This window comes from Homo sapiens, chromosome 12, assembly GCF_000001405.40.
Source record: "Homo sapiens chromosome 12, GRCh38.p14 Primary Assembly".
Taxonomy (NCBI): Eukaryota; Metazoa; Chordata; class Mammalia; order Primates; family Hominidae; genus Homo; species Homo sapiens.
The window spans coordinates 131,081,677-131,097,678 of NC_000012.12; the positions used below are offsets into that span (position 1 = coordinate 131,081,677).

The window sequence follows — 16,002 nt, forward strand, 5'->3', positions numbered from 1 at the left end:
GTTATCTTCTAGAGCAATTAAAATTAAGACAATAATAATTGCCTGTTTACCTTCACTTATTCCACTTCCAGCTGTTCTATTTCTTTGTGTAGATTTTTGTCTAGTATCATACTCCTTTAACTCTTCTTGCAGTTCTGGTCCACTGGCAATAGATTCAGTTACCATTTGAAAAAGTATTCTCTTTTAGTCTTGAAAGATTTTCATTGGGCTTAGAATTCTGGGCCACTTTTTTTCTAGACTGATACTTTAAGAAATTATACAAGTAATATATCAATATATTATTTTGTTCAAAAGTAAAACATTATAGAAAAGCAAGTGTTCCCTTTGATCTTTACCTCTTATCCTGATCTCCACCCCTTTCCCCAGTAATAACCACGGTGGGAGGGTTTTTTATGTGTTTTTTCAATAATTTATATATAATTTATATTTATAATCATAGGAAATATATGGTGTTGCTTAATTCAATGTGTCTTCCATCCTTCCTCCACCTTTTGTTTCTGTGTTTTGCCTGTGTGGACACACATGTTTTTTACCGTATTTATGCATGTTACATTTTATGTATGCATGACTGAACATTTTTCTGTTTAGATGCAGACTTCCTGGGTCATAGGGCCGTACATATCTTTAATGCTATTGATACTGCTTCATCTGGCTTCCATAGCAGATTTATTTATGCACAAGCTGCAAGCCTGCCTCTTTGTTTTCGCTGAGTCCCTGGGAAGTAGATCTTCATTGATGCCACTGAAGGCTCTACTCCTCTGGCTAACTAGGTCATCGTCACACCTTTGCAGCTCCATCTGAGCGATGTGACTTTCATATTGTTTAGCTTACCCTTTGTGTAAGCAGAAGGGGCAGCTCATACCCGTGGCTACGTTCACCTAATCCAATGCCTGTTAATGTTCAGGCCCCCCCCTCAAATTGAAGTATGGTACTTATGCAGCCAATTGACAGACAAAGGCGCAATATATAACACAACAGCTGGTTTTTGCTGACTCCCTCCAAGGTCCTGGGAAAATTAGATCAAAAGGGGTGGGGAGGGAGAGGAGGAGGACATGACCCTGTCTTTAAGTCCCATCAATTCTGAAGTTATTAATGGGGTTTTGCTCCTCTCAGTTGGTACGTCTGAGTGGCTCTCGCTTTGTCCTCTGCTCTCTGCTAAATGCCTTCTCCCTCCCCTAGAAGAGCAGATCATTAATCATGAAAATCACCACTGAACTGCTGTCTGAGTCTCCATCCTCAAACTCAGAGCCACCCCTGGGTCATGTCGGAAAGACCGTCCCAACCCCTCCCTCGCGCTCCACGTCGCCCAGGGCTAACGCAGGGTTACCGTTGCCCGAGGCTGCTGGTGCGTGTTCCATCTGGTAGACATTGGCCAGAGAGGTACAAGCTGGGGTCTTCATCGGTCATGCCATCGGACAGCCACAGTTCTCATCTGCCACATCCATGCTGACACCGCAGTTGAAAGTGAATTCAAAGCAAATACAAACTAGAGCCTTTTAATTTATTCGCCTTTATGAATGCTTTCCCCCAAGGGCCATTGCCTTTGGCTGAAGTAAGGATTTGTCTTTACTGATAACTTGAGGTTCCAACTTCAGGGAAGAACCATTTAAATCTTTTTTTTTTTTTAATTTGAAAATATAGAAGACAGGGTACAGTGGCTCACGCCTATAATCCTAGTACTTTGGGAGGCTGAGGCAGGAAGGTTGTTTTAGCCCAGGAGTTTGAGACCAGCCAGAGCAACATAGCAAGACTATATCTCTACAAAAATAAAAAGAAAAGTATTAATTGGGCACAGTGGCATGCACCTGTAGTCCCAGCTACTTGGGAGGCTGAGGTGGGAGGATCACGTGAGCGCAGGAGGTCAAGACTGCAGTGAGCTATGATCACACCACTGTACTCCAGCCTGCGAAACAGATTGAGACCCTGTCTCAAAGCAAACAAACAAACAAAAAAGAAAATATAGAGAAATGTAGAGAAGAAAATGATATTCACCAATATTCACACCAACAGGTTTAACCACAGTTAACCGAGAGCACGTTTGCTTCCAGTCATTTTTGTCTGGCTTTATATTTTATAAAGTTACGCAAGTAATATATCCACACGTTATTCACGTAAAAAGTAAAACATAAAAAAGCAAGGGTCTCCTTAGACCTTTACGTCTCATCCTGATCTCGCCACCCTGTCTCTGGCGGTAACACCGTGGGGAGTTTCTGTGTGAGCGTTTTCTCTGTAGTCTCTGTGCCGGTCATAGCTGTGTTCGTGGGAAGTGTGTGGTGCTGTTGGCTCCACGGGCCTTGCGTCGTGGTTAGTCACTGTACGTTGTGTTTTGGTATTTTATCCTTATCAGTGCACATTGGTCAAGGATGTTCTTTTTAACCGATGCGAGGTCTTTTATCATATTTCTCTCTCCCACACTGCACTCACCCGTTTCCCCCGATGGGCATTTATGTTACCGTCACTCATGATTCAGTGACTGGGCTTGAATGTGGTCCCTGGCGTGTGCCGCTGCCCGTTCTCTAGGCGCAGGGCTGTGGGCCATGTGCGTTTCATTTTGTGCTGGGCTTGGTCCAGGTGCTTTTCAGGGTGATTGTGCGAAGCAGCTCCCCCTTCCCTGTCCCAGAGGGAGGGCCTTGCTTCCTGTGGCCTGACCAGCAGCAGACACTCTCCAGCTCTCGCCAGCCTGATGGCCAGAATCTCTCCTCCCAACCCCCACACCACGGTCTGGGTGTGCATTCCTGGCGTGGCAGGTGTGGGCGCCGCCATGAGTTCACGGGGCCATGTGTTATGGGGGGTGCTGCTCTCAGTCCCCTGCCTGCCAAGGGTGCGGTGCTACCTCCTCTGATCCTTTCTCCTGTGTCCTCAGCTCCGGAGAAGGGGTCTGGTCGAACCACGGCTGTGCGCTCACGAGAGGAAACCTCACCTACTCCGTCTGCCGCTGCACTCACCTCACCAACTTTGCCATCCTCATGCAGGTGGTCCCGCTGGAGGTAAGAGCCAGGCCTCAGGGGTCGCGGGACCTGGGGGACGTACCATGAGGCTGCAGGTGGGGGCGGGAGGATGCTTTGCCCGCCAGTGCCCACGGGCCCTGGGCACATTACTCCATGGGGCCTGTGTTTACAGACGGAATCCATTCTCTTGGCTTCTGTAGTCCAGGGTCCTGCATGTATTGGGTGCCAGCAAATATCCGAGGAGCCCATGATTGTGTAAATCGAGTCCAGTGTGGTGTGCTTCGCACAGCAACGCCCAGACTGCACCTGGGGGGATCCAAGGAGGGACCCCTCATCCCTCCATCTGTCCCTCTGGCAGATTCTCACTGGGCGCCTGCTGGGAGCCGGGCGCTGGGGGCTCCGCTGTAAACAAGAAAAACAACACAGTCCTGCTCTTGAGGAGTTTGTGTTCTAGTGGGAAAGACAGATAATAAACAAACCAGCAGATAAATTAGTCACTTTGAATCAGTGGAGGAAGAAAGTGGAAGAGAACAGCCCAGTAGAAGATGACCTCAGGGAACGAGGCTGTGTTCACGGAGTGGTGAGGAGACAGCGGGGAGCGGGGCGTCTTCACGGAGCGGTGAGGAGAGGTGTCTCCGGGATGTGGCGTCTGAATGGCCAGAGGAAGCTGATGTCTTGAAGGCCTGGGGGCAGAATGTTCTAGGCCAGGAAACAGCAAGTGCACAGGACAAGGGGCAGGAAGGGGCTTGGCATGGCCGTGGATGGAGCACCCTGAGCTCCAAGGCCCTGGGGAGGCGGGAGGCAGGGAGGAGCAGGCTCGGCTCCAGCATCCAGGCCTCAGGGAGGAGCGTGAGTTTCATTCTAGATGCATACGAAGCCTTTGGAGAGCTGTGCCTGGGAGCAGCTTGGTCTGAGCTACCCTGGGTTTGGGGTGGGGCACGTAGACGCTCATGTAGGTGGAAACCAGGAGTGGAAGGAGGTGTTGCTGCTGACACTGCACACTGCACACCCACACTCACGTCTGTCGGTTGCGCTCACAGAAGGGCTGGTTTGGACAGCATAGATGTGGCTGCTCCGAGCCAGGCTGGGTTTGGCAGATGTGTTGGGAAACGGCGATCTGTTGGATGCTGGGCTGTAACCTGTGGCTGGTGTTGGGCATTTTGGGGCCTGAGAGAGGGCCAGGCTGGAGGGTAAGTCAGGCAGGGAAGCAGTGACGCCTCCAGCGTCTCCCGGACAGATTTGTCACGAGACTCATCTTCCGTGCGGAGCCCTGGTCTTTTAGAGCCTCATGTGCTCATCGTGGCCACTGACTTCTGGAGGCTCGTCCCCAGTCTAGGGCTCTTCAGGGTGGCTTTGGGAGGAGTCAGGATGTCTCTGATCACAGCAGCTCCCGGGAGGGGGCACCAAGCTCAGGTGGTTCCCAGCAGGCACTTTGTCACCAGGGCTTGAACACCCGTCCCTGCCTGGGTCACTGCCTGCCTCTGTGGTCACATTTATCAAGGCTGTGGACAGGCAGAATCTACCTGAATCCACCAGCGTCCGCAGTGTCTGCACTGGGCCAGAGGGTGATGCTGCCCCGCGTGTCCTGCGTGGTTTTGTGTGGGTTTTGGGGGTGTTGAATGGGTTGGGCTTCCACTGTCCTGTTGACCAGGAGACAGAACTCTTCAAGGTGTAACGGAGGCAGAATCCTAGCTTCGCCTTCTCCCATCCTGGGAGACTTTTCCTATTCCAGAAAGAGGGCCCAGGAATGCAGCCTCCCAGGGGTGCTGTGGGAAGGACACGAGTCCACTGCGACACAGTCACGGATCCAGCGCTCAGCCCAGGCGCCCCTCGCTCCCTAACAGAAACCACCAGCAAACCTAAGCCACGGGGTTCTGTGTGCAGAGGCCTGATGGACCACAGTTAACTCTCAGATCAATGGAGACAGGGCCCTGGTTTTTGGAAGTGACTTGTAATGCTGCTGGGGCAGATGGAGATAACCTCATCTTTAAATTCCATGGAAAATAAAATGGCAGATGCTCCTGAGCTGCAGCCCCTCACAGGGCGAAAGACGCACGTGGCACCTGCAGCCAGTGTGATCCCGGCCTCACTGGCCGACGGGCAGCTGCTCACGTGAGCGCGTATGAGCCTCACTCTGCAGAAGACGCCAGAGGGAAACAGCTATTCCTGTTTCCAAAGAGAAGGCCCTTTCTTTTCACAAAATGCATGCTTGATGTCACACTGTGAATTACTTATGGAGACTGCAGAGAGATGTCCAAGCCATATTTTATTTTTATTAAATTAAATAAATTAATTTTTAGAGACAGGGTCTCACCCTGTTGCCCAGGCTGGAGTGCAGTGGTTTGATCATGGCTCACTACAGCCTTGAACTCCTGGGCTCAGGCTATCCTCCCACCTCAGCCTCCCAAGTAGCTGGGACTACAGGCACATGCCACAACGCCTGGCTAATTTTAAATTTTTTCGTAGCAATGGGTTCTCACCATGTTCCTCAGGCTGGTCTTGAACTCCTGGCTTCAAGCAATCCTCCCACCTTAGCCTACAAAGTGCTGGGATTACAGGTGTGAGCCACTGCACCAGCTTTTTTATGTGCATGTATTAATTTTCTGTAGAGATGGGGCCTCACTTTGTGGCCCAGGCTCTGAGACATATCTTAAGTGGATAGGAGGGGGCACCATTCACCCTCGGGTCCCTCGTGCACAGACACACACCCAGCATCCTAGACCTACGTGCTTTGGAGCCTGGACCCAGGAGCCCTTGGCGCTGCGTGAGATGAAATGTCAGGTGACAGGGGACCGGCAGCCTCCTCAGTAGCTTCCATGCCGCAGGGTCCCCCAAGAAGGGCCGGCCACGAAGCAAGTGGAACTGCCAAGCCCTTGCGTGCCGGGGCTTTCCGGCTCAGGGCCGTGGGGTTTTAGAGGTTCCGAAGGGGCGGCTCTGTTGTGAGGCTGGTGGGACCCAAGCCCACCCGTTGCCCGCACCCTTCAGTGGTAAATATTGTGCAGGCAGCTGTGACCCGCCAGATAATCCCGAGGGGATGTTCCTTAAGGAGTGTTTCCCCTAGAGCAGCTGCCCCGCCAGCGACTGCCCCTTCCCAGTCCCCACGCCCCCCCCATGCCTTCCCAGTGGCCCCTCTTCTCCTGGCCTGCAGACCCCACAGCCTCCATGTGGAGGTGGGCCCTTCGCGGCTGGGGAGGGCCATGACCTGGATCATTGGCGGCAATTTAAAGAAAATTAAACAGAGTAAATGAAACCACACCAGAGGGCGGTGAACGTAGAAACAGTTCCTGGGTTTAAATTTCTTGCCATGGACCAGGCCTCAGTTTGAGGAGCACCGTCCTCTGCGGACGGCCGTGACGCCTTCTCTCTCCTCCCACGGGCTCCGTTTCTCCTCTCCCCTCCCGCCAGGGCCCGGCCCACAGGGCTCCCTTTGGGCTTCCCTCGTGGTGTCGTAGGGAGCAGCCCAGGGGAGAAGGCGCAGAGCTGCCCCCATGGAGAGCACCTGTTCGTTCCTGGAGATGGGCGGACTGCACGGTGCTGTGGCCAAGGCTGCTCGTCTTACCAGCAGAGAAACTGAGCCCCAGAGAGAGGGGGGCGCTTGCTGGTGGTCGCCCGTCGTTCAACAGCGTGTTATTGAATTACCGGTAGAGCCTGGGCTGTTTAGGTAGCACCCGGGCCATGGGGACCTGGCAGTGAGGATGCTGTGGCACGCACAGAGACACAGCAAGTCAGTGCACGCCACGTCCTGCCCCGTAAGGGCCACGCGGGAGATCATGTCGGATGACTTGTGGATAATTAGGCTCTAAAACGCAGTCCTGGTGATGCCGGAGCTGTTTGAAAGACGGAAGCCCAGGAGGGCCTGCCTGAGAAGGTGGCGGTGGATTTTACATCTCAGGGTGGAGAGGATGGAGCCTCCCGGCCCTGAGCAAGGACAGTCCGGGCAGAGGACAGGGTGGGGACGGAGGGCAAGGAGGGAGCAGCCAGGGGTGGTCCTCGGGGAAACGCCAGGGCGGAGGCAGGGGCTCCAGGCCCAGGGGTCGTGAGGGGCAGGAGGCGGGGAGCAGGAGAGGTGGCGGAGGCTGCTGCGGTGACTCGAGAAGCGGCAGCCCGCTGGTGTGGCGGGGGTGGAGGGGCACGAGTCCCACTGCAGATGACCAGGGTTGCCCCATCTTCGACTAAGAAAGCTGGCGATCTGTTTCTCCCACGAAATCTTCTGACTGTTAGAGGTGTCGTCAGTTATTACTTCTGAGCCATATGTGAGAGGTCATCTGTGTGCTGACCAGACGCCTGGGGTCTTGTGAAGATGCAGACCCCACATTCAGGGGGTCTGGGGTGGGGCCTGGCATCCTCATTTCCGACAAGGCCCGGGTGGAGTGAGGCCCCACCGGTCCCAGACCACCCTCTGAGCAGCCCCAGGCACAGGCGCCCAGTCTGCAAACATCAGCTCGCATTTCTGTTCGTGTCATGGGACCCGGCTGCAGCAACTGTTACCAAATCTGAGGATGGATAGTCCGGCCCCACATGTGTGCTCGTTGGCATGTGAAGAACTTCCCTTGTCGCAGGAGCTGAGGGGGGAACTGGAGAGACAGGTCCTCAGCCTGGAAGTGAGTGAAGAGAGAACCTGGAAGATTCAGAGACAAAAGAAATAGACCATGGGTTAAAAAGGAGCCCGAACCAAGGGCCAGTGGGCGGGGCTTCTGGACACAGGCATTGCCTTCAGGGAACGGGGAACGTCTTCCTTCATGCACAGCTCTGCAGAGTGGGCACCGGCCCCACTGGCTGCCGGGAGCCATTTATTGAATGCTGGCTGGTGATTGTGGCCTTCACACAGCCGACCACCTGGGAGTAAGGGGAAGACAGTAACAGGCACCATTTCAGATGCTCCCTGCCTGTAGATGCTCTTAACTGTTGGATACCCCCTGCCTGCAAGTGCTCCCTGCCAGTGGGTGCTCACTTCCTGGTAGTGCTCCTGGCCAGTGAGTGCTCCCTACCTGATGGGTGCTCCCGGCCAGTGAGTGCTCCTTGCCTGGAAGGTGCTCCCTGCCTATGGGGGCTCCCTGCCTGTGGATGCTCCCTGCCTCATTGGGGCTTGCATTCAGGCCTGCCCTCTCCTTCAGTCCACACCACACGAGTGAGGTGCTGTCATGTGGCCATCACAGACAAGAGTCATAGGTGATTCCCTGAGGTCACATCAGGGGGCAGAGCCCAGCCTTGAGCCAAATCCCGAATGTTGGGGTTGTGCCCATGCTCTGGAGCATCAGCTGCCTGGGAGCAGAGCCTCCTCCTCTGGATCCTCTATAGGCTGAGAACTAAAGCCCAGTGTGACTTCCTTCTTGGCATGGCCAGAGAGAGGGGGAGTTACACTTTCAGCTGAAAACTGTGTTTTTGTGTGTTGTGTGTTTGTGGTAGAGGAAGGAAGGGAAGGGCCCAGTCCAGCGAGTAAAAAACCTGGGACAGAGACGACTTACGGTCTCGATCCGTCACCGTTCCCTCTCAGTGACACTGGATTTTGACAGTCTGTGGGTGTCTTCGTGGGAGCAAATCGCATCTATTCATTGCCAGAAAAGGTTGATTTGAAAATGGTTTAAAATTATCTGTGCTAAAAATGAACATTCTCATCAACATTAAAAAAAGTTAAGGCTGATATCATAAGTAGAAACCAAATTTGCAGCATACTCAGAGAATTAATAAAAATAGCACCAGTGACCTTATTTCTGTGACCTGGAGTCATGTCTTCCACGGGGCCCTGGGCTCGCACTGCTGGTCTTTGGGTTCCTGGTGCAGGCTTTCTGCTCAGGAGCTCACATCCTCATCGTGTCCCTTCTCTCTCCGAGGTTTTCCCCTGGCTTTTCTCCATATCCAGCCTCCTCCTTGGCGGTTGTTTCGGGAAGCCCTCTTCCTCCTAAGTGGGCAGTGTCCTTTTTGTGGAAAGCCTATCAGACAACAGAGTTCACCTGAGTGAACTGGACCTAGCTGGGGTGGGCTCCAGGGCTGCTGTCCAGGGGAGGGAGACCCCAAAACGACACTCTGTCTTTGCATGCTGCTGTCAACATGGTGATTAGGGCCCAGGCCCTGAGGAGCCATGTCAAGGCATCTGCTGATGGACACTGCGATGGCTTCCAGCATCTGGCGACTTCCAGTGGTTCCGGAGTGCATGACCCTGCACATGCTTCTTTAGAATAAATTCCTGGCAGGTGAATCTGTGGGCAAAGGGCACAGGCATTTTGATTTTGAAAGACATTGCCGCATTGCACTCTGGGAACCGTGTACCAATTTATTGCTCCTCCAGCCAGGGTCAAGAATGGGTAGCTTTGCTTTACATGTGAGTCACAGAAACATGGCGTCATCTCTGGGTGCTTCTAACTTCTCCTGCTGAGTGCAGTTCAAGCAGGGGAACGAACCCCTGGGCTGTCCAGTAGATCTGCATCCAGACCCACCCTTCACCACCCCAACTGCTCCACTCCCCAGGCCTGATTTCTGCCCCTTTGAAATTAGCAACCCCAGATCCAGTAAGAACCCAGAGAAGGCAAGTTTTTCTTTTAATTGGATAAAATTATCCTAGAAAAGTAGGCCATTGGAACAGATAGAGAATTCATCCAGAACAGACCCTGTAACTTCTCAGTACACCCATGAGAATCTATGTCAGAGAATTAAAAGAATCAGCAAGTAAGATGACATAAAAAAGTATAAAATCAGAATATTGACATTATTTATAGTAGAAATAACAGAAGCATGAATAAACATAACACTAATGATTGTGTAAATTCTAATACATCCACGCTAAGGGAGATTATTCATCTCTATACTAAAAGAGGAATGATGAAGTCACGAAACGCGGTGTAACTGTGAAAGAATGGGGTTGTCACCATGCCAGTGCGTTTGCAGGGATTTCCAAGGTAACATTGTGTGAAAAGGACAAGACGTAGACTAGAGTGATACATATCCCATTTTTGTAAAGCCACGCCAAAATCCCCTATGCGTGGGTGTGTTTCTGTATATGTGTTTAAATATGCAACATTTGTATCTTGGTATGTGATTATCAGAAAGGCACGGGCAGTGCATTCAAGGTTGTTAGTGGGCCGGGGCGAGGAGGGGGCCACAGAGGTGAGGCAGTGGCAGGAGCTGGGGAGAGAAAGGACTGTAAACACCAGCCTGTGGGCTCTGACCCAGGTGTGTATTTGTGTGGAATTGTGTGATATGATCAAATGAGTAAAGTCAGCCTGCTGGCAGAGGTGTTTCTGAGGCCTGCTACCCAGGGGTGGTGTTTCATGTTCACTGCGCCTTCCTGATGTCCGGGTGCTGAGACACGCCCATGCCTGTGTTTGCTGTATGAATGAGGGTATGGAGGAGTGAGTCTGTTCCACAAGAGGAGAGGAACTTAGGGAAAGAGATGTGTTCTCCTTGGAGGCCAGAATGCCACATGCGTGCTGGTTTAGTCGGTGGATCCCAGTCATGCTGGCACAACTGGTCTGTACTGCCGCAGGTAGGTGGGAGCTCAACTTTCTGTCCTCCCTAAGGACTGGCTGGCAGGGTGCGAGGGAGTGAGGACCTGAGGTTAACACAGGGGTGGATGCAGGTGTGGGCTGGCTCAGCCAGGGACCGAGAGGAGGGCTCAGGCGTGCACTACTCAGCGTTTCTTGCTGAAGCCACACACCCAATGAAGGTGCTGGGCATGGGGACTGGTGCCGTGGAAGGCATTTGGGCCTGGCCTTAGGGAAAATTCAGCTGCACCTACTCCTGGCGCTTGTGTTCCCCGCTCAGGGTGTGCAGGCCAGGGAGGTGGTCTGGTTGTCTAAGGTGGGAGAGCCCCCGATATTGATAGACAGTCCTGCCAAGGCTGCACCCAGTGGGAAGGGCAGTGGTCGAGGAGCGTGTGGGAGGTTGGGAGGAGTCCCAGGGCCCGCCACGGTGCGCTCTTTCTTCCTGCAGGTGGCCACTTCCTCCCAGGCGGCCACTTCCCAGGCTTCAGGCATGGGAAGCGTCCCAGGCATGGGCACCTGCCTTGGGGTGGCTCTGACCTGGGGGGTGCAGGAGCCCTGTGCCAGTACAGGAGCACCTGGGAATGCCAGTCCCCGAGCACCCGCTCCTGGGGCCTGGTGGTCACAGGGAAAAAGCATTTCAATAGGACGGTCATGAACCGTGGTCTGAAGGCTGACTCTGGCCAGTGACTGGGCTTCTCCTAGCCCACAGAGGCTTAAATTTTTAAAAATTGGTTGTCAGTATTCCAAAACACAGACATTTTATCTAAAATTTGGGATTTCTTTTTTTTTTTTTTTAAATAAAACAAGAAGAGGAAGATGTGGCCACGCTGGGCTTCCCCCTCTGGCTGGAAACGATGCTGGAGGCGAGTGGCTACCACCCCTGCACTCAGGGCGAGGTCCCCAGGGCCCCCCGGTCCCCATGGCCTCCCCGTACCACAAGCAGCTGCCCCTCCTCATCACGTTCGCATCGCTCTTCTGCTTTTAGGAGACAGTGAAATGCTTCCTGCTCTTGTCTTGGTGGGAAAGTGACATATGCACTGAGAAGGACTTGGGTTAGAACTGTGGGAGGGAGGATGCTTGTTTTGGCAGCACAGTCCCACCTGGTGGTTATGTCTGCAGGCCCCCACTGGCCTCCTGAGCTGATGCCCTGCCTCTCAGGAGGCATTTGAGGTTGTAGTTTCTGAGTCAGAGGAGTCCGTGTCCTGAAACCAACTGCAGGCTTTTCTGGGCATTTCTAAATCTAGCTATGGGTGGGAAAGGAAGGGCACCGTGGGGGCACACCACGCCTTCCTGAGGCAGGAACGGCAGTGCAGCCTCCGCCCAGACCCATGGTTCTAGGCCCCGTGCCCCGCGGTTACCCAGCCAGGTGCAGCCTTGAGCCTCTCAGATGGGCCCTGGCTCCAGGGAAGGGCACAGGGCGGGCAGTGGCAGGGGCCTGAATTACACGGTGTTGCTGGGAGCTGTGAGAACCACTCTGAGCTGTATTTGCGGTCCCGAGGGTGTGTCACAGGCGGGACTGTGCCAACTGCAGTGCCGGCAGCCGCAGCATGTACAGCTCAAGTCAGAAACAGGCTCCCTCCACGGGGTCTCTGTGTGAATGTTAGCCAGACCACCTCCCAATAACACCTCCTGCATGCAGCTGGGGTTAGTAGTGGCCCCTCTGCCTCCCAGCCAGCTGGACACACAGGTCCCTCCCAGTGATGTGCCAGGTGGCCTTGGGCAGGTGCCTGCTCTGAGCCTCAGTTTCCCCGCTGTGACATGGGTGGGACCCTTTCCTTGTGGAGCTGTGGTGGTGATGAGGAGGCAGAAGTAAGCACAGCTCAGGCCCAAGCACCCAGCCTCAGCAGCACCCAGCCTCAGCACCCAGCCCTGAGCACCCAGCCTCAGCACCCAGCCCTGAGCACCCAGCCTCAGCACCCAGCGTCAGCACCCAGCCTCAGTCCCCAGCCTCAGCACCCAGCCTCGGCACCCAGCCCTGAGCACCCAGTCTCAGCACCCAGCCCTGAGCACCCAGCCTCGGTACCCAGCCCTGAGCACCCAGTCTCAGTACACAGCCTCAGTACCCAGCCTCAGCACCCAGCCCCAAACACTGCCTGACAGAGTGAAGTCACAGTGAGCCATGAGTATGAGGTCCCTAGGGATGTCCTGGCCCTGAGGACCCCTGAGAGTGGAGTGGGAGTGGGGTGGGGTGGAGCAGGCCTGGCTACTGCACCTGGGACTGCAGCCATCCCAGCATTGACCCGTTCATGGCCACAAGTCTCCTTCCATTCACTCTTCATAAGGAAGGTTCAGTCCTGTGGCTGTGGGCACCGGGGCAGGACGGTCTATTGCCCTGTTGATGGGGGTGGGGGTAACTGTGGAGGCTGGAGGGGCTCCAAGGAGAGGCCCCTCCACCCATCCCTGGACCCCTCTAATCCTGGAGGCAGAAGAGGGTCCTGCCTTGCCCAGGAGTAACAAGGAAGTTGGTTTGTTCAGCAGCGCCCCCCCGACTCCCCAAGCAATACTGTGGTTCACCAGTGTCTTCTGGCTGAGTGGGGAGGGCATGCATCCTCAGTACCATCCTCTTAGAGACCCAGAAAATTGTCACCATCCCTTCTGATTTCCCAGCCTGTGCAGTTCTTCCAGAAGGAGAGGGTGGTGGGCAAAGCCTGCTGGGTCCTTCTGCATGGGCTCCTTACCATTCCACCAGCAAGCCCTCCAGGTGCACGGGTGCACGCTGTTCCCGCCCCGCCTTACAGATGAGTTTTCCTGAGCCCTGTCCTGGGCTGCTGAGAGCTGGGCTGGGGATGGGAGCTGGGAGCTCACCCGGGGGAGGCGCAGGGGCATGCGTCCTTCCACCCCCTCCCGTCTCCTGCCCTACCCACCCCTTCCCATGCCCCTCCAGTCTCCCTCGAGACGCCCCCTCTCAGCCCCCAGGGCCCTCCCCTGTACCCTGTGGCCTGTGCCTCTCTGAGTGGAGAGCTGAGTGAGCCCTGGGAACAGGGCTGACACCTGCCACCCCCATCTCTCCCTTCAGTCCCCCCGACTCTCAGGCTGCTGGCCACCTGGGACATTGGGAAATGGGCCTAAGAGGTAAAAACCTGCACTTCGAGGTGGAGCAGCAGCCAGTTGCTGCCGGGACTCAGCTTTGCTGTCAGCTCAGCCCCAGCCCTGCCTGGGCACCTTGCAGTCCTGGGGGCAGGGAGACGTAGCTTCAAGGTTCTGAGGGTTCCACCCCTGCCCCTCTTGACAAATTCAATTGCCGTTGCCTCCTCCAACCAGACCCAGGCTGCTCCTTTTAGAGGAGAAGCATATGTTGCTTCATTTATTCCCTAATTCTCCTGAAGAAGTGTCTGCTCTGGAGTGTGCTGGGCTGGAGCCGCTCTGCAGAGGGAGCTGCAGCAGCCTCTGGGGTGGTCCTGTCTTGGGGGATCTTCTTTCGGGGCTACCCTCAGAATTGGGGTCTTACTCTGTGGGGCTGAGGGTGGGCCGGGTGACCAGGACTGGGAACATGGTCAGGGGCCAGACTGGACGTTCCCAGGGCAGATGGACGCATAGCCCGGCCGAGGGATCGGGTCGCTTTGCGGGGCAGCTGTGGGCTGCAAGGCTGTGGTCAGGGCTTGACGTCTGAAGCAGGCCAGGTTTCTGGTCAACACGTATTTTTTGTCATGAGTGTGTTGAATCTTGGGAATTAGAGTGGGGATGTGGGCCGTCTTTGAGAAGCCGCCAGCCCCCGTGTTAGGAGTGGGACAGGAGCTCGAGGGTTCTTTTTGGGACATACAGGAAGCTGGGGTGTCAGGAGACAGAGGGGTTCTGTAGGTTGAATTGTTTGTAAAGATGATACACGCATGTGGGAAAATGCAAGAACACAGAAGGCAGAGTGTGGAAACTGACGGTCACGGCCACCGTTCCCGCCTCCCAGCCCTGCCCAGAGCAGCGGCTTAGGGTCACGGCCACCATTCCTGCCTCCCGGCCCTGCCCAGAGCAGCGGCCTAGACACGCGCTTGCTTTTCTGTCATTCCAGACGCAGTTGCTGAGCCTGGGGCCCCGCTTTGCTCTTTGTTCTTTTTTTGTTTGTTTTTAAAATTTTCTGTACCTCAATGGATGCAAACCTTCCTTTAAACAAAGGGTAGTGAAGCATAAAGACTGCACCCTTTATTTTTATTTACAATTTATTTGTGTTAGAGACAAGGTTGCACGCTGTGGTCCAGGCTGGAGTCAGTGGCGCCACCTTGGCTCACTGCAGCCTTGACCTCCTGGGCTCCAGAGATCCTCCTACCTCAGCCTCCCAAGCAGCTGAGACTAGAGGTGTGCACCACCATGCCTGGCAAGATAGCACACTTTAAAAAATGTATGCACGTATCTTGGAGGTTGCTCCTTCTCAGGGTACACAGAGCCACATCTCCCGTGTTAACCACTGCATAGCTCTCCCGCGGGTGGACACTGAAGTCATGGTGGTCTTTGGCCGCAGCAAATAACCAGCATCCTATGCACACATCCCGCCTCCATCTGTGAGGATGGGTTCCCGTGGGGCACTGCTGGTCCAGGTTTACATCCCGCCTCCATCTGTGAGGATGGGTTCCCGTGGGGCACTGCCGGTCCAGTTTTATATCCCGCCTCCATCTGTGAGGATGGGTTCCCGTGGGGCACTGCCAGTCCAGGTTTACATCGCCACAACTGTTTAAAGCAGCCATCGTCTGGGGCACAGTGGGGACTCAGCCCTGAGTTCCCAGTCATGTTGAGTCCTGGGTTCTGCTCTGAGATCCACCTGCCTCCTGCTGCCCGGCTCTGCCTCCCACGGCCGACCACTGTGCTGAGTTGCAGGTCTGTCACTTGGGGCAGGTGATGGGAGGGGAGGAGGCCCAGCAGCTCTTCTCTCGCCCCTACACGTGGCTTTTTGGGCAGTGGCCACGCCTCTGCTGTGGCTGCAGCCCTGCTGGACAGTCTATGGATCTGGCTTCCACGGGGGGATTTGTGGCGAGGCTCATTCCTGGGCCACCTCACTACCCCTATGAGGTCCCCCTTTCTCTCCCCTCCCGAGGGTTAGCAATTCCCTGAGTCAAATGTTCCACTCTTTGAAAGGCTGGAGTGGTTTCTGTTTTCCCAGATGGCCCCAGACTGATGCACAAGCTGTGCGGCCAGGGGAGACAGCAGGAGCCCCCAGGGTTCCTGGTCTGGAAAACAAGAGGGTGATGGTCCCCCCAGCTGACACTTTCAACAAGGTCACTGTGACCCGAGGCAGGCCAGTCCCAGCATCTGTTCAAACACACAGCAGCCCAGCTGGGTCCTCGGGGAAGATCTCCTGCCTGTGGCCAGTCCTCTCCCGTCCTGCAGCACCCCTCAAGTGGCCAAGCAGCTCATTTCTACCTGTCCCCGGGCTGTCGGTTCATTTCCATCAGTGGACGTGAAATGTGCCAGCAACTGGACCCAGCCCGGGGGAGGCTGGCTGCATGCTGCTGGCACATGCTACGGCTGCCTACGGCCAGGGATGGCCGCCAAACCAGGGATGCCTGGAGTCACAGATCCGCCAGGGCCTGGTCACTCGTGCTGTCCAGGAGCCAAGGGCAGGAGTGCAGCCCAGCCAGGGGCTGAGGGCT

At 55.0% G+C, this 16,002-nt stretch overlaps 1 protein-coding gene across 16 annotated transcripts in view, besides 2 other annotated features; it reads left to right on the top strand.

Annotated features, from left to right (window-relative positions):
* ADGRD1 (adhesion G protein-coupled receptor D1) overlaps window positions 1-16,002 on the top strand; it is a 187,563-nt gene that overhangs the window by 127,770 nt on the left and 43,791 nt on the right. For 14 of the 16 annotated variants that reach the window (NM_001330497.2, XM_011538204.2, XM_011538206.2 and 11 more), the window contains one exon: window positions 2,864-2,987. In NM_001330497.2, the coding sequence (NP_001317426.1) occupies window positions 2,864-2,987 (124 nt within the window). Of the gene's footprint in view, window positions 1-2,863; window positions 2,988-4,680; window positions 5,277-16,002 lie in introns of those variants that run through there. The other 2 variants (XM_011538210.3, XM_047428720.1) reach the window with 1 other exon arrangement.
* Window positions 9,703-9,802: an enhancer, noted in NCBI's record as "active region_7355". NCBI's record gives its function as "activates an Ori minimal core promoter by ATAC-STARR-seq in GM12878 lymphoblastoid cells {active_cell/tissue: GM12878}" and the evidence as "EXISTENCE:reporter gene assay evidence [ECO:0000049][PMID:35858748]".
* Window positions 10,263-10,422: an enhancer, noted in NCBI's record as "active region_7356". NCBI's record gives its function as "activates an Ori minimal core promoter by ATAC-STARR-seq in GM12878 lymphoblastoid cells {active_cell/tissue: GM12878}" and the evidence as "EXISTENCE:reporter gene assay evidence [ECO:0000049][PMID:35858748]".